This window comes from Homo sapiens, chromosome 10, assembly GCF_000001405.40.
Source record: "Homo sapiens chromosome 10, GRCh38.p14 Primary Assembly".
NCBI classification, from domain to species: Eukaryota; Metazoa; Chordata; class Mammalia; order Primates; family Hominidae; genus Homo; species Homo sapiens.
This window is the reverse complement of record NC_000010.11, coordinates 123,728,419-123,752,786: the sequence shown is the minus strand read 5'-3', so window position 1 is coordinate 123,752,786 and position 24,368 is coordinate 123,728,419. Positions and strand designations below refer to the sequence as shown.

At 45.8% G+C, this 24,368-nt stretch overlaps 1 protein-coding gene across 7 annotated transcripts in view, besides 2 other annotated features; it reads left to right on the top strand.

Moving 5' to 3' along the window:
• CPXM2 (carboxypeptidase X, M14 family member 2) overlaps positions 1-7,148 on the top strand; it is a 198,466-nt gene extending 191,318 nt beyond the window's left edge. For 5 of the 7 annotated variants that reach the window (XM_017015673.2, NM_198148.3, XM_011539285.3 and 2 more), the window contains one exon: positions 5,770-7,148. In XM_017015673.2, coding sequence (XP_016871162.1) covers positions 5,770-6,023 — 254 coding nt within the window. In that variant the 3' untranslated portion in view covers positions 6,024-7,148. Of the gene's footprint in view, positions 1-120; positions 1,585-3,730; positions 4,835-5,769 lie in introns of those variants that run through there. The other 2 variants (XM_011539283.3, XM_005269528.4) reach the window with 2 other exon arrangements.
• Positions 4,673-5,654: an enhancer, noted in NCBI's record as "OCT4-NANOG-H3K27ac-H3K4me1 hESC enhancer chr10:125506649-125507630 (GRCh37/hg19 assembly coordinates)". NCBI's record gives its function as "activates a minimal SCP1, AML or CMV promoter by ChIP-STARR-seq in naive H9 embryonic stem cells {active_cell/tissue: H9 hESC(naive)}" and the evidence as "EXISTENCE:reporter gene assay evidence [ECO:0000049][PMID:30033119]".
• Positions 22,921-23,420: an enhancer, noted in NCBI's record as "H3K4me1 hESC enhancer chr10:125488883-125489382 (GRCh37/hg19 assembly coordinates)". NCBI's record gives its function as "activates a minimal SCP1, AML or CMV promoter by ChIP-STARR-seq in naive H9 embryonic stem cells {active_cell/tissue: H9 hESC(naive)}" and the evidence as "EXISTENCE:reporter gene assay evidence [ECO:0000049][PMID:30033119]".

Sequence of the window (24,368 nt, the reverse complement as noted above, 5' to 3'; positions counted from 1 at the left end):
GAACAGTCCGTGATGTTCCAGGATTACCCAGTGAGTGGCAGAGCTATGATTTGAGCCAAGCACTGGAGACTTCAAATCTGGTGCTCCTTCCTTTATTTCCATGCCATTTTTCTTGAACAGGGAGGAGAGGCTCCTTCTCTGCAAACTGTTCCCATGATCCTGTCGTGCCAACAAAAGATCCCATTCCACCTGCCAGGAAGCAGACTTTGGGACATTAGGATGAGGCGAGGCTGGGGTTCAGACCTGGCCCATGTATCCTTCATTGCCAGGCTCCCTAGCAGTGGGCCTGGCATAAAAGACCAAATATGTAAATGGGGGAAATGTGTCTAAAATGCCACAAAATAGTAGATTGCTGTGTAATGCCATAAATTGCATTTTTCCCATCTAGTTACTGATTTCTTTGCTCAATAATATTTTCTGAACATTCCTACCATTTGTCACTGATCTTATAGCCATGAACCATGAGGCTTCACACTGAATACCATGGAATTTTGTACGTAGTAGCCCCTCATAGGTGTTCATTTTTTTCATATATTTATTCACTATTCCTTAATTAATTCAGCAAATGTAGATTGCATAGCTGGAATGTGCCAGAGACCACGCAGAGTGTTGGCGATCATTATGCATGAAAGGCTGTGTGATGTGGTTCTGCATAGGATTTGTATTTTAAACATTACAAATGAAGCTCCTTTGAAATGACAATTCTAAAAGAGCCTAGAACATTCCTTGACTATTTAGTGCTTTGTATGCAATGTGAGAAAATGTGGGAGTTTTGAACTGAGTGGGAGATAAAAAGACCCTGGGGCCTCATAAGCCAAGATAGAATACTTTGCCTAATGGGTGCTGAGTTTCAAGCCCCTGCAATCAATGAGACAGTTTTGATGAGCTAATGGGAAATGCATCTCCCTCCCTTGATTTTCCCCTCTATAAATAATTTCCCAGTGTATTCTCATGACAGATAAACTCCATACTTTACACACGGCTCTTTGTTCTGTTTCAGAATCTTTCGGTTCTCAAGAAAAGCTCTGAATTTGCCTTGATTTCTATCTGAGGTTTATGTGATCTGACAAGTTTTATTTCGGGATGGATTTTGCATAAAATAAACAGGGGTATTAAATGGAATTCCACAGGGAGGGAAGCTGGTAGGAATGCTTTGAGTTAGATGCATATCAGTATGTTGGACAGACACCCGGCTCACCGTTCCACATGCCTGTCCTTTGCTTGGTGGGTACTGAACTGACCTGCTCCTGTGTGGACATTCTTTGGGCCTGAGTTGCCCCTTCTGCCCACGTATAGGAGATGTGTCAGGGTGGCGGGAGAAATTATAAGGAAAGACGCAAACCTTCTTAGAAGGTCAGGACGTTTTGCAAAACTTCGGAAGGGCAAAGGGTAGATAACAAGGGAATGTAAAGGAATTTATTTGGATGAATTTGTTTACTTATGTCTCCAGATATCAACCTTTGATCATTTGCACACAGGACTGCTCTCTACTCGGGGGGTCGACAATGTTAATTACCCACAAATTGTGTTTGCTCCAAGCCTTTGTCATTAAATCTGTACTAAATAAATACAAACATCTCTGGCTTATGGGTGCTGCACTCTCGTCAGTGGCGCTAAGCCGTGCAGTTCCCTAGCCACACGCTCAGGCAAAATACCTGTGTCTGCATACTTCTTTCATCCATCTCTTGGCCAGAGTCTGCGGGACAGGCTTGGCACGCATGAATGCCCGGGATGCCCATTATGTGTTGACTTCCACTGCAGCTCCCTAGAAGGTTCACCCTGAACACAGACCTGAGCACTCATGGGGACAACAGCCCAACACTGCATCTCCTGCTTTTCATAATGTGAGTGATTCCAGACTTTTCCAGTGGTTAGAGACAGAAGCAGAGAAAGTGAGAGCCTCAAGGAAGACATGGGGAAAACAGCCAAGAACTGAGGACAGCGTGCCCTGCCAGGCCAATGAGGGCATCAGGCAGATCCATGTCTCTGCAGTAGAAGCTTTGAGATGACATGGCCAACACCCCTCATTCTGACTGTGTGAACCCACACACAGTCCTGATCGTTGTATTCATTCTTTTGACCTTTCTTATTGAGCTCCTACTGTGTACCAGACTAGAAATACTGCGGTGAGCAAAACAAATATGACCTCTAAAAGTACACATTCTAGTGAAGGAGACCTAGAGATAATTCCAAAGGAAGATTTAAAAGTTTACTACACACTATGATCAGTGCCATGAAAAAAATAAATTAAGTGATATTTACAAATAGGTGGGAAAGCCAAGGAAGGGTCCCTCCCTAAGGGGACATACACAGGCTGGCCTTTAGAAGAGCAAAGAATAGCATTCCAGTTGGAGGGAACAGTAATTGCAAAGGCTCAGAGTCAAGAATCAAGGAACAAAAGGAAGACTTGTGTGGCTGGAGAGAGGCCGGCTGGGAGCAGTGGAGTGCAATGATGTGGAAGGGGCCCCCAGGACCTGCGTTGGGTTTTGCTCTAAGCACTGAGCCCTTATCTGAATGGGGTGAACCCTCAGGCTCTCAGGAACACTGTCTCCACCTGCTTGTCTATTTCTCCTCAAAAATTAGAGGGCTTATCTGACAGGGCCACAAGGACAGAACAAATTTCTTGAAAATTAGTAAGAATAGCTTTCATTATTAAAAATAAACTCTAGAACTGGCATGGTGGCTCATGCCTGTAATCCTCGGCACTTTGGGAGGCCAAGGCAGGCAGATCATGAGGTCAGGAGTTCAAGACCAGCCTGGCCAATATGGTGAAACCCCATCTCTACTAAAAAAAAAAAAAAAAAAAAACAAAAATTAGCCGAGCATGATGGTGCACACCTGTAATCCCAGCTACTTGGGAGGCTAAGGCAGGAGAATTGCTTGAACCTGGGAAGCAGAGATTGCAGTGAGCTGAGATCAAGCCACTGTACTCCAGCCTGGGCGATAGAGTGAGACTCCGTCTCAAAAAACAAAACAAAACAAGAAACGAACTCTAGGCATTTAAATGGAATCTTGCAAGGCCTGACTTTACAAAGGGTGAAAGGAAGTGGACCTGGCACAGGAGTTGGGAACAGCAGTGGGAACAGTATATGCAAAGCCCAGAGATGTGAGATGTGTGTGTCCTGAGACACCACTGCAAGGCACTCAGAATGGCTGGAACAAAGGGGTGTGAGATACAATAGGGGAGGGCAGGAACTGGGACCCCAGAGGCTCGGGCCACCCAAGGACTTTGGATTTCATCGCCATGTGGCCCTGCGATAACAGCAGGTTTAGGGAGTAAGCACCATGATGTGTATGAGAAGGCCAGCGACAGCACAGAGGGTGGACTAGGGAGGGGGCAGGGAGGGCTTCTTCTGGCTTTTGCAGGGATAAGGGGAATCACAAAGGCTTCTTATTAGAAATATGAACTTGAGCCAGTTATGCTGATAACCATTAATTGTGGGTTTCTTTCACTGCTCAGCTTACTGAACACCTCCCTTGGTGAGAACCTGGGCTGCCCCCTCCCTGAGGTATTTAAACCAACTTCCAAGTGCCATTGAGTCAGGTGCTCCCACTGAGAGGTTTGCTTCCAGGGGCCTCCAACGTCCAGCGCCCCACAATAGCTGTTGGTGGGGGCAGGCTCTCGGCCTTAACTAATCCCCTCTGAGCACCCTTGGTAGCTGAGACCTAATATGCTCTGCTTCTCAGGCCAGTAAGCCACATGCTGTCCTGGTTGCTCACTTCTCTCCAGCCCATTCAGATAAACCAATGTTCAGACCTGTTCGGCGTTCAGTCCAGGAGGATAAATGGCACGCATGTTGAGCACAGAAGAGGAAAACACGGGCTCTTCAGGCGCCTACAGCTTTAACACCGGGCCGAGGCAGGAAGCGGAGGCCATTTCCACTCTCAAGGACATACTGCCTGGTAGCATGGAGAGGGGAGAGGACAGGGAGGGCACGTGGAGGAGGTGGCTCGCTCGGGCTTGTCAGGGACTGTGGGGACCCTGAGGGAGATCTCCAAAGACAAACTTTGCTGCGAGGCTCGAGTCACCTGATGGCATAATTCAGCCTGTCGACGTGCTCCTGAAAAGGTCTAATGTGGCATTTTATTTAGTTGAAGAACTTGCCATTTCATTAAAAAAAGACCCAGCACACAGCGCCAAGAAGTGCCAGGGAGCCGCCCACCTGAGCGTGTACCTGGGCCTCTCAGATGGAGTCCTGTTTTCCATTCAGCTCCTTAGTGATGTACATGTGGCAAACGACTGCCTCCACATTTCATTTCCCATCATGTCCTGTGCTCCTGTGAGCTCAGTGTATTGCACGGGGTGTCTTGGATGAATTGAGATTAGAATGTGCATGATTTCAACATGATGCTTCGAAGTGTTATAGATCTGTGTATGTGGGAGACGTATATTTACAAACACACACATAGTTTTCTTCCATCCGTTAGAAGACTTCAGGACTTGCTAAGATAAGCAAACCTTGACCAGGGCCTACTTAGTACTTGATCAAACCCAACCTTTTCTCTACCTGGCTCCAAAACTTTAGACTGGGCAGGACATTCAGATTGTCACAAGCGAAAGACTGCTGATTACTAGCCGTGTGACCTGGTGCAGGATACTACACCTCTCTGGGCATCAAATTACTCACGTAGAAAAGGGAATAAGCATGCAGCCTGCATCACAGAGTCACTTGGAGTGTTCAGTGAGCCAGTGCCAGCCTCGTCTTTTTGCGTGTGGGTGGTGTTCCCCAAGATGGCCTCTGGTGTCTCCTTTTCTGTTTCATGGTCTCTGATATGCTGTGGATCTAAATGTTCTCACCAGGTTGTAGGCTCTCTGGGAGGAGAGACCTCAGCCTAGAACCTGTCTTTTTTTTTTTTTTTTTTTTGAGACAGAGTCTCACTCTGTCGCCCAGGCTGGAGTGCAGTGGCGTGATCCCAGCTCACTGCAACCTCCGCCTCCTGGGTTCAAGTGATTCTCCTGTCTCATCCTCCAGAGTAGCTGGGATTACAGGCACCCACCACCACACCCAGCCTCCCAAAGTGCTGAGATTACAGGCATGAACCACCGTGCCCACCACAGGGATCTAGCCTAGAGCTGAGGATGGACCCAGGTCACATTAGGTGCCTGGGAGGTAATCGGCTGGTAGTTACCTGGGAGGCATGGGCACCACCTCAGCTCCAGCATGGGTCTCATGTGGTCTCAAGGCTCCTCTGCCCCACAGCGTCCATGTATAGATGGCCCTGCAACTCCCAAGTCTCTCCAGGCCCCAGCCAGGGAATGGGGTACAGGTGCCAGGGCCTCTCTGGGGCCATCTGACCTCAGTCCATGTAGTCCTTTCCTTCTCTTTCCAGAAGTGAAAAGCCCACACCTTTGAAAAATGGTTGTTGTGTACTTGCAGCCATGCTAAGGAAGCCAGGAGGCCCTGCACTGATGGCTTTTCAAGATGGCATTTTGTGGCGAGGGCATACTGTTTGGAAGTTCAAGTTCATCATGAATGGCTCATATTGTCACAGAGCATTAGTGATCGGCTCTCCAGCTTTGCTCCTGTGTATTGACACTGCGGGGAGCCTATACCTCCCCTCCCTGTTAAAACCATTAAGGCAGCTTTCAGAGAGGAAAACATCTGGGCTTCCAAAATGCATTAAGAATTTGCATCTGCAGGAGCTCGGATTCCACGTTGCCAGCCTGAGAGTCTCTCTCTGGCCCAGGGAGCTGGTCTTGGAGGAGGGCTGGCGGGATCTGCATTAGCAAGAGCTGCTCTGAGTCTCCCCTGGTTTTCTTTTTCACAGCCAACGATGGGGATTACTGGCGCCTCCTGAACCCTGGAGAGTATGTGGTCACAGCAAAGGCCGAAGGTTTCACTGCATCCACCAAGAACTGTATGGTTGGCTATGACATGGGGGCCACAAGGTGTGACTTCACACTTAGCAAAACCAACATGGCCAGGATCCGAGAGATCATGGAGAAGTTTGGGAAGCAGCCCGTCAGCCTGCCAGCCAGGCGGCTGAAGCTGCGGGGGCAGAAGAGACGACAGCGTGGGTGACCCTCCTGGGCCCTTGAGACTCGTCTGGGACCCATGCAAATTAAACCAACCTGGTAGTAGCTCCATAGTGGACTCACTCACTGTTGTTTCCTCTGTAATTCAAGAAGTGCCTGGAAGAGAGGGTGCATTGTGAGGCAGGTCCCAAAAGGGAAGGCTGGAGGCTGAGGCTGTTTTCTTTTCTTTGTTCCCATTTATCCAAATAACTTGGACAGAGCAGCAGAGAAAAGCTGATGGGAGTGAGAGAACTCAGCAAGCCAACCTGGGAATCAGAGAGAGAAGGAGAAGGAGGGGAGCCTGTCCGTTCAGAGCCTCTGGCTGCATAGAAAAGGATTCTGGTGCTTCCCCTGTTTGCGTGGCAGCAAGGGTTCCACGTGCATTTGCAATTTGCACAGCTAAAATTGCAGCATTTCCCCAGCTGGGCTGTCCCAAATGTTACCATTTGAGATGCTCCCAGGCGTCCTAAGAGAATCCACCCTCTCTGGCCCTGGGACATTGCAAGCTGCTACAAATAAATTCTGTGTTCTTTTGACAATAGCGTCATTGCCAAGTGCACATCAGTGAGCCTCTTGAATCTGTTTAGTCTCCTTTTTCAACAAAGGAGTGTGTTCAGAAAAGGAGAGAGAGGCTGAGATCATTCAGGAGTTTGTTGGGCAGCAAGCATGGAGCTTCTTGCACAAATTCTGGGTCCATAAACAACCCCCAAAGTCCCTGCTGATCCAGTAGCCCTGGAGGTTCCCCAGGTAGGGAGAGCCAGAGGTGCCAGCCTTCCTGAAGGGCCAGAAAATTTAGCCTGGATCTCCTCTTTTACCTGCTAGGACTGGAAAGAGCCAGAAGTGGGGTGGCCTGAAGCCCTCTCTCTGCTTGAGGTATTGCCCCTGTGTGGAATTGAGTGCTCATGGGTTGGCCTCATATCAGCCTGGGAGTTATTTTTGATATGTAGAATGCCAGATCTTCCAGATTAGGCTAAATGTAATGAAAACCTCTTAGGATTATCTGTGGAGCATCAGTTTGGGAAGAATTATTGAATTATCTTGCAAGAAAAAAGTATGTCTCACTTTTTGTTAATGTTGCTGCCTCATTGACCTGGGAAAAATGAAAAAAAAAAATAAAGCAAATGGTAAGACCCTTCTGGTGTGTGTGACTTTTCTGGGTAGGCTTGCAGCCACCCCACTACCTCTTTCTGAGGTTGGTCAGCCTAGACAAGGTGCCTGCTTAGGGGTGGCCATCCTGCACCCCCACTAAGCTCAGCACTGATGCTGACAGCACTATGTTCTCTGCCTCTTTCCCAGGAGAGACACTTGTTTGGGACCCACTATTGGCTCTTGGAGATGCCAGTAAGCATCTTTAGAGAAAAGATTCTCATACAGCTTTTGCACAATCTATACTCAGGGTCAGCTAACTTTTCTTTAAAAGGGTCAGTAAATAGCTTAGGCTTTGCAAGCCATACAGTCTCTGTCATAACCACTCAGCTCTGCTATTGTAGCACAAAAGCAGACATACACAGTACAGAAATGAATGGGCCAGCACTTTGGGAGGCCGAGGTAGGCAGATTGCCTGAGGTCAGGAGTTTGAGACCAGCCTGGATAACATGATGAAACCCTGTCTCTACTAAATATACAAAAATTAGTTGGGCATGGTGGTACATGCCTGTAGTCCCAGCTACTCAGGTGGCTGAGGCAGGAGAATCGTTTCAACCCGGGAGGCATAGGTTGCAGTGAGCCAAGATTGCACCATTGCACCCCAGCCTGGATGACAGAGCAAGACTCTGTCAAAAAAAAAAAAAAAAAAAAAAAAGAAAAGAAAAGAAATGAATGGCCATGGCTGCATTCCAGTACATCTTTATTTACAAAAACAGGTGGCAGCTGGATTTGGCCTGCAAGCTAAGACATAGTCAGCTCCTGCTATAAGCCAGTGTTGGCCAATAGAACTTTCCGTGATGATGGAAATGTCCTATTGTGTGCTATCGAATGCCACAGTGCTGGCCACGTGTGGCTATTGAGTACTTTAAAGGTGGTCAGTGAAACTTAAAAACTGGGTTTCTTCTATTATAGAATGTTCATTTTAATTAAACTTTTAATAGACACTTGTGGCTAAAGGCTACATATTGGACCACACAGCTCTCAACTAAGCCCATGGTAGGAAAATCTGAGCCTCACAGCAGTAGATATGGAGGCAGTGCTATAAAGCATTTAAAACTATAAACCACCTTTGCAGTTCAGAAGGGGGAGTTGCAGGGGTGAAAGAGACGATGGTGCAAGTGACCCTTCTGGGCCCTTGAGACATGTCCTGGACCCACAATTTAAACCCGAGCAATCCCACATTTGCTTGGAAGATTGTGGATTTGTCCAGTCCCTGCCATGCTGACCCAGAAGCCAGGTCCTGGCCCTTGGTGCCGAGATGGCCCGGTCTTATTTCCAGTAGTCAGCTCTGGAACTTGCAGGGCTACTGCACACAGCCTACTGCATCCATGCCATTCTCAACCCTCCCTGCAGCCTTGTCACCAAACTGAGCCCGTTTGCAGGCACCTTGGGCTCGCAGGCAGGGGCTCTGCATTCAGGACTGGCCAGGGCTGTTTGGTGTGTGATCTCAGGTCAGGCATCCTCTCTAATCTCTCATCTACTCCTGCAAAGTAAAGCCCTCAGGCTTCATAGACTGTAAAGGTCAGGCTGGCTGTGGCGTCCGAAGATTTCTGGCAGAGAGCCGACATCCTGGATTCCTAAAGCTCTGTTCTGTTGGAGTCACTTCTCTCCTCAGCCCTTCCGTGACACAGCGACTCCTCACTGGACCTTCAAGCCCACATAACCTTCCTTAACCCGGAGCCCGGAACCTCCCTCCTACTTGCCTTCTCTCCTGCTTTTCAGCCGGAATTACCCTCCTAGATCTTTCCCTAGGTTCAGCTTGGGCCTCTGCATATATTATCTCTCCTCACAGCTGAAAACCCTCCTGCTTCTCTCCAGTCCTGTCTCAAATGCCACCTCCTCCAGGAAGCCTTCCCCCTCTCAGGACCATGGTGATTTCTCACTCCTTTGAACAAATCTGCAGAGCCCTCAGGGCCTCTCAGAGGAGTTGTGTTACTTCAGGTTCTCTCTGCTGTTGGTCTGGAAGCTCCCAAGGGCAGGACCTGCATCCTCCTCGGTTCCCACTCCTCCTGCGGGGCTGCTCCCCACTGCAGCAGTTGCACCATGAACACGTGTGAAGCCGAGCCAGCCTCTGCCATGTGCTGCCCTGTTTGTAGGATTCCCTTAACACGTTCAGAAAATGTGACTTGAGAAATTGAAAATCTATACTTTGAATGTATTTGGTGTCTTTTTACCTCTTGAAGAGTCTTCATTTTTATAAGTGAAACCTGGTACTTGACTGAGTTAGAAACATGTCCAGAGATTGACAGGCTGTTTGAGATGTTTTTCTGCAGGATAAAATCAACCAACGTGGTGCGTCTGCTTCTGGCGGAGTCTAGTGCCTGTTTACTGTCTTCATCCTCCCACGTGGGTCCCAGGAGGGCCGCAGCGGCTTCACCCTCTTTCATGTCTGTTTTATGTTGAGGGGCATTTAAGGAGCTGTGCAGAGAAGAAGCTCAAATCAGCATTTGTCAGCAATCACAGCCCACTTTCTATGAGTTTTGGAGCCCAGTCTTTACCAGGAACCCCTAGGCATTATTCAGTGTACACAAGGGCATTACAACACCTTGAAACTGTCATGTGATGTTAGCACACAATCATGCCAGGGAAGAGTCCCAGGTTTGCAGGTTCAGAATCAGCTCTGGAGGCTGCCACCCTGCCTGAAGAAGCCCACATGTCCATACCACTTTGTGCTGTGTCCCCGATCCCAGTGGGTGGTCACAGTGTGGAGGGAGCTGCTGCTTACGGAGCCACAGCCCAGCAGGACTGGCCAGAAGGAGGCAGAGCCTGGCTCACAGCAGCCCAAGTCTGCCTCTACTACTGAGCTCTGTGTACTAGGGCGACCTCTCCTGAGACCATGGGTGCTCTTCCTCCTGTCTGTCGATCCCCCTGACACATAGACATCCCCAACTTGCCAGCCAATTCACAGGAAATCAAGGGAAAATCAGAAAAAAAAAGTTCATGGCCTGCCGTGGTGGCTCACACCTGTAATCCCAGCACTTTGGGAGGCTGAAGCAGGTTGATCACGAGGTCAGGAGATCGAGACCAGCCTGGCCAACATGGTGAAACCCCATCTGTACTAAAAATACAAAAATTAGCTGGGTGTTGTGGTACATGCCTATAATCCCAGCTACTCAGGAGGCTGAGGCAGGACAATCATTTGAACCCGGGAGGCAGAGTATGCAGTGAGCCGAGATCACGCCATTGCACTCCAGCCTGGGCAACAGAGTGAGACTCCATCTCAAAAAAAAAAAAAAAAAGTTCAGAGAGCTGAAACACATGGGGCAGAGCCTTCCAGTACCTTCTGGTGTATACAGAGGACAATGGCAGGTCTTTAGAGCTGAGGGGCAGCCATGAGGTCAAGGAGCCTGGGATGGCACCTAGGCTTCCTCTTATAGGCCCACTCTGGTTTATTGGTAGTCCTTGCTTGGAGCTCTGTGTTAAGAAGAATTCTGAGGCAGAGAGCTGGCTTAATGAAGAGATGCTCCAGCTGATTACCTATGTCTGCTCTGGTTATGGCAAAGGTGAGGGCAAGGATGCCTGCTGTTTCCATCCCTGAGCTAGTCTAGTCCGCCTGGGGGTAGAGACAGGAAAAATGAGGCACAGGGAGGGGCATGAAGTGTCCAAAGTCCCATTTCAGTTCATGGCAGAGGCTGAACTCTCAGGACAGTGCTCTTTCCACTGCTTGACTGGGAACCTGTAATTAGGTCTCGGCGCAGGCCTGGGGGCTGAGCCTCTTGAACTGCAGGGCCAGCTTTCCCAGGAGCAGCTCACGCCCTGGGCAGTGACAGAACATTGGGAACTATGGGTGCATTTTAGCAACCAGAGGATAAAGGATGGAGCCCTTGTGTGATGAACATGGCTGGGGAATCTGCTAAGAGGGAGCTGATTGAATATGTAGCAGAGCCGGGGGAAGCTCACTGGGCCTGATTCTGGATGTCTTTTGCCATTATAGCTCCCTGTCAGCTTGAGATGACCTAAGAGCCAATGATGTCCTGACTTCCCAAAAGCTGACGGTTTTGATTTGCAGTTGGTAATGCCCAATTTGATTTACGGTTGGTAACGCCCAATTTGATTTGCGGTTGTTAAGGCCCATCCTATATGCAGCCTCCACATCCTTTGTAGCCTGGTTGGTGTGCTGGGCACTGGGGGGATCAGCACCACCCTGGCATTTCTTGTTATCTGATCTGTCTCGAGAGCCAGCCTGACAGAGGAAGGGGACAGTGGCTCTACCCGGTGCTCACAGGTGCTGCGGGTAGTGGACTCTGTCCCTGCCTCACACATGTGTCAACATCTGCAGGGAAGGCCACTTTCTGGAGCCCTCTCCCAGCCTCTCTGAGCAAGGCTGAGTGGTGAGTATCCACTGAAATGTCAGTCCGTCATTGTGAGTCAGCACCCACTGGCCTCTCTTACCTCCAAGGCCTTCAGGATAGCGGTCAGTAAAGCAAAGTGTCGGACAGCAATACGTTCATTGCTGTTCTCTTCAAATTATCTCTAAACAAGCATTTAAAAAATTCTCTGTTTTGAAATGCAAATCAAAACCACAATGAGATACCACCCTACACCAGTCAGAATGCCTGTTGTTCAAAAGTCAAAAAATAACAAAAATAACAAAAAATAACTAGGAGATGTGCCACTCTCACCATAGCCCACTTTTGTTTCAGATCATTTTGATGCTGAAGGTCTAAGCATTTCAAATATATTACATTGCATTGAATCCCCGTGACAATCTTAAGAGGCAGAGATTCCTATACGCGTTTTAGAGATGTGGAAACAAGTCCCGGGGAGATGAGGTGACTTGCTTAAAGTCGCTCATTTGGCAAGAGGTGGCACTGGGACCACACTAAAGCACATCCACCCCAAAGCTCCATCTTTTCCTTCTGTATCCCATCCCCAGGGAAGTATAGTGACACGGGTTAGGTCCCTGCACAACCTAGGGTAAATTATGTACCTTATGAATCTCAGTTTACTCATCTATAAAATGGGCATAGTAGGCCAGGCACGGTGGCTCATGCCTGTAATCCCAGCACTTTGGGAGGCCGAGGTGGGGGGATCATGAGGTCCAGGAGATCAAGACCATCCTGGCTAACACAGTGAAACCCTGTCTCTACTAAAAATACAAAAAATCAGCTGGGCGTGGTGGCACGCGCCTGTAATTCCAGCTACTCAGGAGGCTGAGGCAGGAGAATCGCTTGAACCTGGGAGGCGGAGGTTGCAGTGAACCGAGATCACACCACTGCACTCCAGCCTGGGTAGCAGAGCGAGATTCTGTCTCAAAAGAAAAAAAAATGGGCATAGTAAATAGGGCCTACCTTGCATGTCATGGGGTTCCAGTGAAAAGCATTTAGACAGGCACCCGGCACATGGCAAGCACTGAGAGGCAGAGCAGCTGCTGATTATTGTTTTCAGGTACTATGTTCCCAGCAGTGTGCTATTCAATATCCCTTGTCATCTTCACAACTACATTTAGGGGTAAATATTATTATTCCCATTTTTCAAATGAGGAAGCTGAGGCTGAGGGTGTGCATAGATGTATGTAGTCAGATGTTCTAGTATAGTTTTTCCAAGTTCATCACCAGGATGGAAGCAGCTGTTTTGATGCACTCCTTACTTTGCTCTTGAAAGCTGCATTAGCTGAGCGGTGAGGGAAGTGGGAGCTGAGCCCAGGAGGGAAGCAATCGGTTACAGAAGCAGGTTTCCTGGCCATGGAAACCCTTACTGCATGGGGTCGGTGTTCAGTGCATTTTCATTGAAAATAATGGCCTCCTGTCTGACTCTGCCATGCTCTTCATCCTCCCTAAGCATGAGCACAGCTGTCAGGCTCCCTGTCGGGACTAGGGGGAGATGGCAAAGGCCATGATCCCATCCTTTGGGCACCGCTCTTTTCCAGCTCCCGGAAGCCCAGTGACTCCACAGCATCAGGTTCCATCTCTGGGCCTTCTGCCAACCTGCAGGGAACAAACGGCACCAGGGCTGGGGCAAGAGCAAGAGAGGGGGCCTTGAGGTCCGTGGAGAAAGGCAGCCCCAGGCCACTGGAGAAAGAAAAAAGCCCTCCTCACTGCACTTACCTGGGGATGGGATCAAGAAGGAAAAGATGGAGCTTTGGGGTGGATGAGCTTTGGTTTGGTCCCAGTGCCACCTCTTACCATCTGGGTGACATTGAGCAAGTCACCTCATCTCCCTGGGACTTGTTTCTACATCTCTAAGATGTAGAAACATCTTAAGAGGCTCTGCCTCTTAGAATTGTCACGGGGATTCAATTTGATGTAATATATTTGAAATGCTTAGACGTTTAGCATGGAAATGATCTGAAACAAAAGTGGGCTATTGTTAGAGCAGAGTGCAGCCTACTTTACAGAACAGACCAACAGTTTCTAAAAATGTTAACTATGGAGTTCCCATATGATCCAGCGATCCTAGTCCTAGGTATATACCCAACAGACATGAAAACATATGTCAACACAAAATGTGTGCACAAATGTTTACAGCAGCGTTATTTATGACAGCCAACATGTAGAAACAACCCAAATGCCAAGGGGTGAACAGATAAACAAAAAGTGCATATTCAGACTGTGGCATATTATCTGGTAATGAAAAGGAATGAAATACTGATACATGCTACAACATGGATGAACCTTGAACACATTATGCTAAGTGAAAGAAGTTAGTCACAAATGGCCACATATTGTGTGGTTCCATTTATATGAACTGTCCGGAACAGGCAAATCCGTAGAGACAGAAAGCAGATTAGTGATTGCCTGGGGCTGGGGTGATAGGAGATTCAGGAGGTGTTGGGGTGGGTGAAGGCTAAGGGGTGCAGGCTTCCTTTTGTGGTTAAGTGTTTCAAAACTGATTGTGGTGATGGCTGCATAACTCTGAAAAGCCATTGTATATTTTAGACAGGTGAACTGTGTGGTATAGATTATTTCACTTCAAGGCTGTTTTTTAAAAAAACATAACCATACCTCATTAAATAGGCATCATTTTCAAATATGACATTCCAGGCAAGACTTTGGTAGCTGTAATAGTCCATTCTCCCATTGCTATAAAGAAATGCCTGGCCTGTGAGGGGGCTCATGTTGGTAATCCCAACACTTTGGGAGGCTGAGGCAGGAGGATCCCTTGAGGCCAGGAGTTCAAGACCAGTCCGGGCAATATGGCAATATCCCATCTCTACTAAAAATACAAAAAAATTAGCTGGGCATGGGGGCGTGTGCTTCCAGTACAAGGTACTCAGGAGGCTGAGGTGAGAGGATCACCTGAGCCCAAGAGGTCAAGGCTTCAGTGAGCTATGATCATGCCACTGTACTCCAGCCTGAGCAACAGAGTGAGACCCTGTCTCAAAAAATCAAAACAAAACAAAACAAAACAAAAAAAACCCCTGAGACTGGGTAATTTATAAAGAAAAGAGGTTTAATTGGCTCACAGTTCTACAGGCTATGCAGGAGCATGGTGACATCTGCTCAGCTTCTGGGGAGGCCTCAGGAAACTTACAATCATTGCAGAAGGTGAAGGAGGTGCCAGCACTTCACATGGCTGGAGCAGGAGAAAGAGAGGGCAGGGGGAGGTACCACACTTTTAAATGACCAGATCTCATGAGAACTCTACCATGAAAACAGCACTAAGAGGATGGTGCTACACCATTAGAAACCACCCCTATGGTTCAATCACCTCCCATCCGACCCCACCTCCAGCATTGGGAATTACATTTCAACATGAGATTTGAGTGGGGACACAGATTCAAACCATATCAGTTGCATAACCAACTTTTTGGGTTATATCCTAGTGAAAAAGGAGGACAGATTCCTACTATGCAAATAACCATATCAAGCCATACAAAGTAGGGAGCCTCAGGGAGAGTTTCTCAGTTCAGGAATTAAAAACCAAGGCAAATAAAATTCACTTTCCAAGTTGGTTCTCTGTAAGCTCATTCATATTCTGGAATAAATTGACACTTTACCTGAAGATAGGTATCAGGAGTCTGTGAGGTCAGGACTAATTGAATAATAATACTAAGATGTTATTAACATGCAGTACATTCACTGCTGTTCTCTTCAAATTATCTCTAAACAAGCGTTTAAAAAATTCTCTGTTTCGAAATGCAAATCAAAACCACAATGAGATACCACCTCACACCAGTCAGAGTGGCTATTAATAAAAAGTCAAAAAATAACAGATGCTGGTGAGGTTGTGGAGAAAAAGGAACACTTATACACTGTTGGTGGGAGTGTGAATTAGTTCAGCCATTGTGGAAGATAGTGTGGCAATTCCTCAAAGACCTAAAGACAAGAAATACCATTCGACCCAGCAATCCCATTAGGGAACATAGCCAAAGGAATAGAAATAATTATATTATAAAGACACATTCACACAAATGTTCATTACAGCACTATTCGCAATAGCAAAGACATGGAATCAACCTAAATGCCCATCAATGGTAGACTGGATAAAGAAAATGTGGTATATATACACCGTGGAATACTATGCAGCCATGAAAAAGAATGAGATCATGTCCTTTGCAGGGACATGGATGAGGCTGCAGGCCATTATCCTTAGAAAACTAATGCAGGAACAGAAAACCAAATCCTGCACGCTCTCACTTAGAAGTGGGAGCTAAATGGTGAGAACACATAGACACATGGAGGGGAACAATGCCCACTGCGGAAGGTGGGAGGAGTGAGAGGATCAGGAAAAATAGCTAATACTTGGGTGATGAAGTAATCTGTACAACAAACCCCCATGACACGAGTTTACCTTTGAAACAAACCTACACATGTACCCCTGAACTTGAAATAAAAGTTAAAAAAAATAAAATTCTCTGTTTCAATTGCCAACACAGAAAACAGTGATAGTTATAACCCTAAAAATCAAAATTTTTATAAGGTCTTCCATAAGTTTTATGAGTGTAAGTTATCTAGAGACCAAAAACATCTGAGAAATGTTGCTTTAAGACCAAACTACTGTTTTCCTTGAAAGACAAGCACACACTGTTGTATTTCTCTATTAGTGTTGTTTTTAGCATAGTCTCAACAACTTATATCAACTACAATTTTAAGTAAAGTAAATAATGTCTCTTTCATAGAGCAAACTGTGAAACATTAGTTGAGAACTGCTATCACGTACCAGCATTTTAGCAAATTAACAGCTCCTTAATGCAACAATTTCTATAGCCATATACCTACCTCTCCTAAAGAACCTCTACAAACAGCAAAAATGTACATGTTCACTAATATGGCCCAAAGCATTTAAAAATTAAGCAGCAAACACCTATAAATTCAAAATTATGCTGAATAATCAGTGTTTCAGTATTCATCTTAGGAATGATCTAGGCATCCCATGATTATCCATTACTTAATGCAATTTAATATCATCCAAATGTTTGAATTACTTAAAGATCTTGGAAAGTATCTTCAGGCTGACACACTACAAAGCAAGTGAAACAAACTTTTGGTTTTCCCAGTGCATTTATGGTGTAAACAAGTTATGTTTACACCATACTGACTTATTAAGTATACAATAGCATTATGCCTAAGAAAATGATGTAAATACCTTCATTAAAAATACTTTATTGTTGGCCGGGCATGGTGGCCCACGTCTGTAATCCCAGCACTTTGGGAGGCCGAGGCAGTGGCTCACTAGAGGTCAGGAGTCCAAGCCCAGCCTGGCCAACAAGGTGAAACCCTGTCTTTACTAAAAATACAAAAATTAGCCAGGCTTAGTGGCATGTACCTGTAGTCTGAGCTATTTGGGAGGCTGAGGCAGGAGAATAGCTTGAACCCAGGAGGCGGAGGTTGCAGTGAGTCGAGATCACGCCACTACACTCCAGCCTGGGTGACAGAGCAAGACTCCATCTCAAAAAAAAAAAAAAATCCTTATTTTTAAAAGGACTAATGATCGTCTGAATCTTCAAGGAGTCCTGATTTTTTTGCTAGTGGAAGGTCTTACCTCAATGTTGATGGCTGCTAACTGATCAGGGTGGTGGTTGCTGAAGGTTGGGGTTGCTGTGGCAATATGTTCACAGCATATCCACAAATAGATTCCATCTTAAGAAAATTTTTTTTTGCTTATCCTTAAAAAGCAGCTCTTCATCAGTTAAAGTTGTATCATGAGATGGCAGCAATTCAGTCACATTTTCAGGCTCCACTTCTAATTCTAGTTCTTTTGCTGTTTCTACCATATCTGCTACAGTTACTTCCTCCACTGAAGTCTTGGGCCCTAAGTCATCCATGAGAACTGGAAACAACATCTTTCAAACTGCTGTTAATGTTAATATTTTTACCTCCTCACATAAGTCACAAATGTTCGTAATGGCATCTATAATGGTGAATTATTCCCAGAAAGTTTTCAATTTACTTTGCCCAGATTCATCAGAGGAGTCACTATCTATGGCAGCTATAGCCTTAATAAATGTATTTTTGAAATAAGAAGACTTGTACAACAAAATTACTTCTTGATCCATGGGCTGCAGAATGGATGTGGTGTTAGTAGGCATGAAAACAACATTCATTTCCTTGTACTTCTCTGCTAGAGCTTGTAGGTGACCAGGTACATTGTCAATAACAGTAGTATTATAAATAATCTTTTTTTCTGAGCAGTAGGTCTCAACAGTGTGCTTAAAATATTCAATAAACCGTGCTATAAACAGATGTACTGTGATCCAGGCTTTGTTATTCCATTTATAGAGCACAGGAAGAGTAGATGTAGCATAATTCTTAAGGGCCCTAAGATTTTCAGAATGGCAAATGTACATTGGCTTCAACTTAAAGTCACCATTAGCCCCTAACAAGAGAGTCAGCCTGTTCTTTGAAGCTTTGAGGTCAGGCGTTGACTTCTCTCTAGCTATGAAAGTCCTAGATGACATCTACTTCTCATGTAAGGCTGTTTTGTCTACATTGAAAATACATTGATTAGTGTGGCCACCTTCATCAGTGGTCTTAGCTAGATCTTCTGGATAATTTGCTGCAGCTTCTCCATTAGCACTTGCTGCTTCACCCTCTACTTTTATGTTATGGAGACGGCTTCTTTCCTTAAGCCTCATGCAGCAACCTCTGCTAGTTTCATGCTTTTCTTCTACATCGTCCTCAACTCCCTCAGACTTCATAGACTTGAAGAGAGTTGGGGCCTTGCTCTGGATTAGACTTTGGCTTAATGGAAGGTTTTGGCTGGTTTGATCTTCTATCCAGACCACTCAAACTTTCTCCATATTGGCAATAAGGCTGTTTTGCTTTGTTATCACTTGTGTGTTCACTAGAGTAGCACTTTTAATTTCCTTCAAGAACTTTCCCTTTAAATTCACAGCTTGGCTGTTTGCCACAAGTTACCTGGCTTTTGGTCTACCTTAACTTTCAACATGCCTTCCTCACTAAGCTTAATCATTTCTAGCTTTTGGTTTAAAGTGAGAGATGTGTGACTTTTCCTTTCACTTGAACACTTAGAGGCCACTGTAGGATTATTAACTGGACTAATTTCAATATCGTTTTATCACAGGGAACAGGAAGGCCTGAGAAAAGGGAAAGAGATGGAGGAAGGGCTGGTTAGGGGAGCAGTCGGAACACACACAACATTCATTGATTAAGTTTGCCATATTACATGGGTGCAGTTCATAGTGCCTCAAAACAATTACAATAATAACATCAAAACTCACTAGTCACAGATCACCATAACAGATAAAATCAAAATGAAAAAGCTTGAAATATTGTGAGAATTACCAAAATGTGATGCAGAGACACAAAGTGAACATATGCTGTTGGAAACATGGCACCAACGGATCATTGTAGGGTTGCTACAAGCCTTCAATTTATAAAAAAAATGAGGTATGTGTAAAGCACAATAAGGCAAAGCACAATAAAATGAGGCATGTCTGTATACAGTCTGTCAGAATAATGATACCATTTAGTTGAACACAAATTTACATTTTTTGTAGTGTTAAACATTAACTAGGAATAATGCTAGCTTATTTGAGCAGTAAACCTGAATAAGGTTAGGAAACAGTGTGTATAGTAGAATAAAATCTACCTCGTGTTATACATAGCATTAATTAGAAAGACATAGCTGCCTTGTTATTAATCAAAATTATTAAACTAGTCTCATTTGCCAAAGATTTACCTTAATTATATGGATTCCTAAAATGCTTTTAAGTTAGCTTTGGCTGACACACTTCAAGTATTAAAAGTTTAATGTCCTTATTTTCTCGTAATTTGGGAAAATTTCATTTCTAGAAGTGTTTGTATCCAACCAAAATATAGCTCTTTTATTTTTTTATTTTTTGAGACAGAATCTTGCTGTGTTTCCCAGTCTGGAGTGCAGTGGCGTGATCTTGGCTCACTGCAACCTCCGCCTCCTGGGTTCAAGCAATTCGCCTGCCTCAGCCTCCTGAGTAGCTGGGATTACAGGCATGCACCACCACATCCGGCTAATTTTTGTATTTTGAGTAGAGACAGGGTTTCACCATGTTGGCCTGGCTGGTCTTGAACTCCTGACCTCTGAAGATTCCACCAGCCTCGGCCTCCCTAAGTGCTAGAATTGCAAGGGTGAGCCACTGCGCCCAACCTAGCTCCTTTAATTTAAGAGACTTTTAAAATTCAATTTATTAATACGCTCTGGATATACAAAAACATCAAATACACAATGAAAGGTAGTTTTCTGAATTATAGACACCTAGACTTATGATCCCGTAGATAGTTTATAGCTTCAATTCTACCATTTTAGCTGCTACTCATAAAAACTCACAGTTCCAAGTATCAAAGAGCTCTTGTCTTTCCTAGTAGGCACAAAATTATTATCTCATTTACATAGACAAATGGACAAACAAAAGACTGCTGAGAGGTGAGCTCTTACTCCGAAGAGAGGGCACTGGCCCCTCCAGGCATAGGGCTGCCCTCAGCCTTCAGAGCTCACTTGCCTGTGCTTGGAGAGCCATAGTGCCTGGGAACGCTGTTCTCTGGAGCACTCCCCCACCAATGAGTGATGGGTGTGAGTCTATAAATACCCCAGCTCTCTCGCTCCTAGATCAGGATATTTCTGAGTTGGATTCTACACGGTCCCCAGAACTTCCCATGGGACTGAGCCAAGGTTTTCCTTGACATCACATCTTTGCTTGGTGCCTTCCTTTCCTGATCGAAGGTCTCCACGCCCCTATCAGGTTTTCTTGGACTCACTTTCCAATAAATTTCTTTCACACACATCCTTATCCCAGAAGCTGTTTCCGGGGAACTCAGCCTGAGGTTCTAAATATCCCCTGCATCTGTCAGAACAGGACCCTGAGTATTTTTGGGGGAGCAATATTGTGATAGTGTGATTTACAATCAGAAATATATATTTAGTCTCTGTCCCCGGGTTCTTGTAATTCCTGAGCCATAGAGGTGCTAGGTGTATCTTTTGTTTGAATGTTTGGTCTTTGACCTCAGTTCCTGATACAGAGCACCTAATCCCTTGAAATTTTCTGGGTGATAGGAGCACCTTTTGTTCCAATGAGGCTACTCTTAGTGGGCTCCTGGATGGAGCTAATCACCAGAAATACCAAGCCATGATTAAAAGCTTGGAACTTCCAGCCCCACATCCCATCCTCCAGGAGAGGGACAGGGGATAGAGACTGGGCTAATAATTTACCATGTCTATATGATGAAGCCTCCATGAAAATTCCTAAAAGATGAGGTTCAAAGAGCTTCTGGGTTGACTCCAATTCAGGTCTCTCTGATGGTGCAAAAGTCAACATCTCCAACTCATAAGCAACACAGAACTCAGGAACAATTTTGCTTACATTTTCATAATTTAATCTGCCTGAGAACTTTAGATACCAGAAGCCAAAACACTACACAGTGACTAAAATGAATAACACTGTTACTGGGCTGTTTTCAGCTGTTTTCAGATGTTCCTTTATGCACTGAGGCCCTTTCCCAGCATCCTCCCCAAATCGCCTACAATTTCTAACATTGCCCGAGCTGTCATTGGGCCTCACCTCATAACTTGGCAGCCATTGTTAAGAATTAGAAGACGAGGGTCGGGCGTGATGGCTCACGCCTGTAATCCCAACACTTTGGGAGGCCGAGGCAGGCGGATCACAAGGTCAGGAAATTCAGACCATCCTGGCCAATATGGTGAAATCCCGTCTCTACTAAAAAATACAAAAAATTAGCCGGGCATGGTGGCACGTGCCTTGCTTGAACCCAGAAGGTGGAGGTTGCAGTGAGTCGAGATTGCACCACTGCACTCCAGCCTCGGTGACCAGAGGGAGACTCCATCTCAAACAAACAAACAAACAAAAACAAACAAACCAACAACAACAACAACAACAAAAAGGAATTAGAGGATGAGAATAAAAATGTTTGTGTACACTAACCTTGTTGGAGCTGTGAATGCTGCTGTGTTCACACATTTGGGTGGAAACTTTCAGCCTGGTAAACACCTATCAGTGATCCTGGACAATTCTGAATTTACAGAGTATGAAAACATGCTATTTCCAAACATTGCTTCCTCTCTTCTAGTTGATCAATAAAGAACTTTATGAGATCCTTCTTCTGGATAACGGAAAAGGTCATGAGCTTCCTAGGGTGCTTGCTTGCTTAGTTATTTCATTAAGGATAAAATTATCTATGTTCCTAAAACCCTGATAAAGAAAGACATCCTGTTTGTGAAAGCAGTGGGTTTTGAGTCAGGTGATACAGGAAAGTGAGAGACTGACTATATAGTGCAAGGAAGGCTTGACCATCTATAGCAATTGAATTCTGACCCACAACCTGCAGCAACCAGTCCAGAAAACTAGCCTGGGAAACCAGCCTACTATTTATAAGTCAGACTTGCAGGAAGCCAGGCCACTATATCTAGCGCAATTCAGGAAGCCACACAGTAACCTCTGTAACAGTCTGTCCAAAATGACCAAGGCTCCAATAATAAAGAACCGCTTCCCTAGTTTTTGTCCCTGCTTCCAACTTAGGACCAACCAGAGAAGGTTAGATTTTTATTTTTCCCCTAACCAATGACATAGAATGTTCTGCTTCTACTTAGTCCATCTACAGCTTCCTGTGCCCGCAGCCTCCAGTCAGGGACCACCGGAAGCTTCCTTTTCTTCTGCTATGAAGCTCTCCCACTCCTCTGCCTGCTTTTTTTTTTTTTTTTAGAGAGGGTCTCTTACTCTGTCTCCCAGGCTGGAATGCAATGGCAAAAACATGGCTTACTGCAGCTTTGATCTCCTGGGCTCAAGTGATCCTCCCATCTTAGCCTCCTGAGTAGCTGGGACTACAGGGATATACCACCGTACACAGTGAATTATTTTTTAAATTTTTTGTAGAGATGGGCATCTCACTATGCTGCCCAGGCTGGTCTCAAACTCCTGGTCTCAAGTGATCCTTCTGCCTTGGCCTCCCAAAGTGTTGGGATTACAGGTGTGAGCCACTGTGGCTGGCCTCTCCCTGCCTTTCCTCTTGTGAGTTTCTATGAAAACACAAGTGATGATGGCTGCCTCCCTTGCTGAAGCAAGCTCGGAATAAACAGCTCATTCCCATTTGGTTGGTCTTTATTTCCACAAGAAAGAGGAAGTGATTTGAGTTCAGACTCTGTCACTCACTGCCTGTGTGATTCCAAGCAAGTGACTTCATTCTGCTCTGGCTTAGGGTCCTCATCTGCAGAGGAAAGGTGGTGGAACTAAGCACCTGCAAGGTGCCCACAGAGAACAGCAGACAGCCGAGAAGGATCCTGTGCTGCTTTTAAAAATTCATGTTTTGGAGTCAACTCTATTGCCCTCATTTTTTTTCTTTTTTTAGGAATATAGGGTAAATATTTTTTTCATTTACATGGCACTTTGCAATTTATAGAGGATTTGCACATCCATCGTTTTATTTGTTCTTCTCAGCAACCCCTAGGGGAGGCAGGAAATTCCCCTCAGCTCCATTATGCAAATGAGGAGGTGAGGCTGCCTCACAGAGGGCTCCACAGGTGGAGCCATACTAAGCGCTTACCCTACCCTGACCCCTTTTAGTACAGAGGAGGCAAACCAAACCCGTGCACTTGGCTCACAGGAGTATTTGTTCATGATCCACTGCCTCTGGATAGTGATATACGGACTTTTCTTCAGAGCAGAGTTTCTCTCCATAGTGCTGCTAACTGGCGATGTCCTTCGCCTGCAGCCCTAGCTTTGGTTGTGAGAATCTCTTTCCAGCTCAGGCTCTGTCTGTTGTGCCAACACCCACAGTACTATTGGAGCAGCGGGGATCACACAGCATCAGGACGGGATGTTGGTGCTCTTGAGGGTTGTAAGGTCAGAGGTGTGGAAATGCCCAAGTTCTCCCTGCAAATCACCTCTACTTGCTCCCTAGAGGCTCAAAGAGGCACAGAATCCCTAAAAATGCAGGTTTGTTCTAAGATGAGCTTTGTGAAAAGCCTTTCTTGAGTGTCTGCTGTGGTCCCATCGAATAGGCATTGGGAACTCTTAAGGTGGAAAGACTCCAGCCTTGTGGTTCTAACATAGGTGACAGCAAAGGCATGTATGTGCACCTCGAGGGCAGGTTTTAGAGGCTGCTCATCTCTGATGACTGCAGTGGGAGGGTGGGGGTTGACTGGCAAGGAAGGTGACCTTTCACCCGGATGCAGAAGATGAACCAGAGTTCAGCTGGCTGACTGGGTGGGGTAGGGGAGGGGGAGGATAAGAGCGGGGTCTCTTTAGGGAGAGGGGACAGTCTGTGCAGTGGCTCTGAGGGACACGAGTACATTGTATTTGAGGAGCTATAAGAGGACCCCAAATTAGAAAGGGAAAAAAAACCAGGGTGGGGAAAGGCAGGTGATGCTACTGCTGGGTTCAGCTGTGAGCCTTTCCGTGTGGCTGCTCCAGGCCCACAGAGCACTCACAAAGGCCGCACTTGCAATCCCAAGAAGCACAAAGAACAGGGAGCACAGCTTCTCACTGAGAAGTGATGGGGTCATTTCAGAGTACTGTTGCTTTTGTCTAAAAGCGTGCAAGTTAAAGAGCTTTATTTTAATAAATGAAGTGGAAAAATTGTTTAGTCTTTAAGAAAGGAGGATAAATTGGCCTTTAAAAAAAGTCAAGCAACTGTGGGACAGGCCTTTGGATTTAATTGCAAGCGTATATTTGGCAAATCTGGTACCTTTGCAATCACCTCCCACACATTTGCCTGCCCAGTGAGCCAGGCAGGGAGACTGGGGAGACAGGTGTGCTTGTTTCCTTCTTCCTGATGGGAAAATGAGGCCTGGGGATGGCCAGGAACTTGCCTGAGGT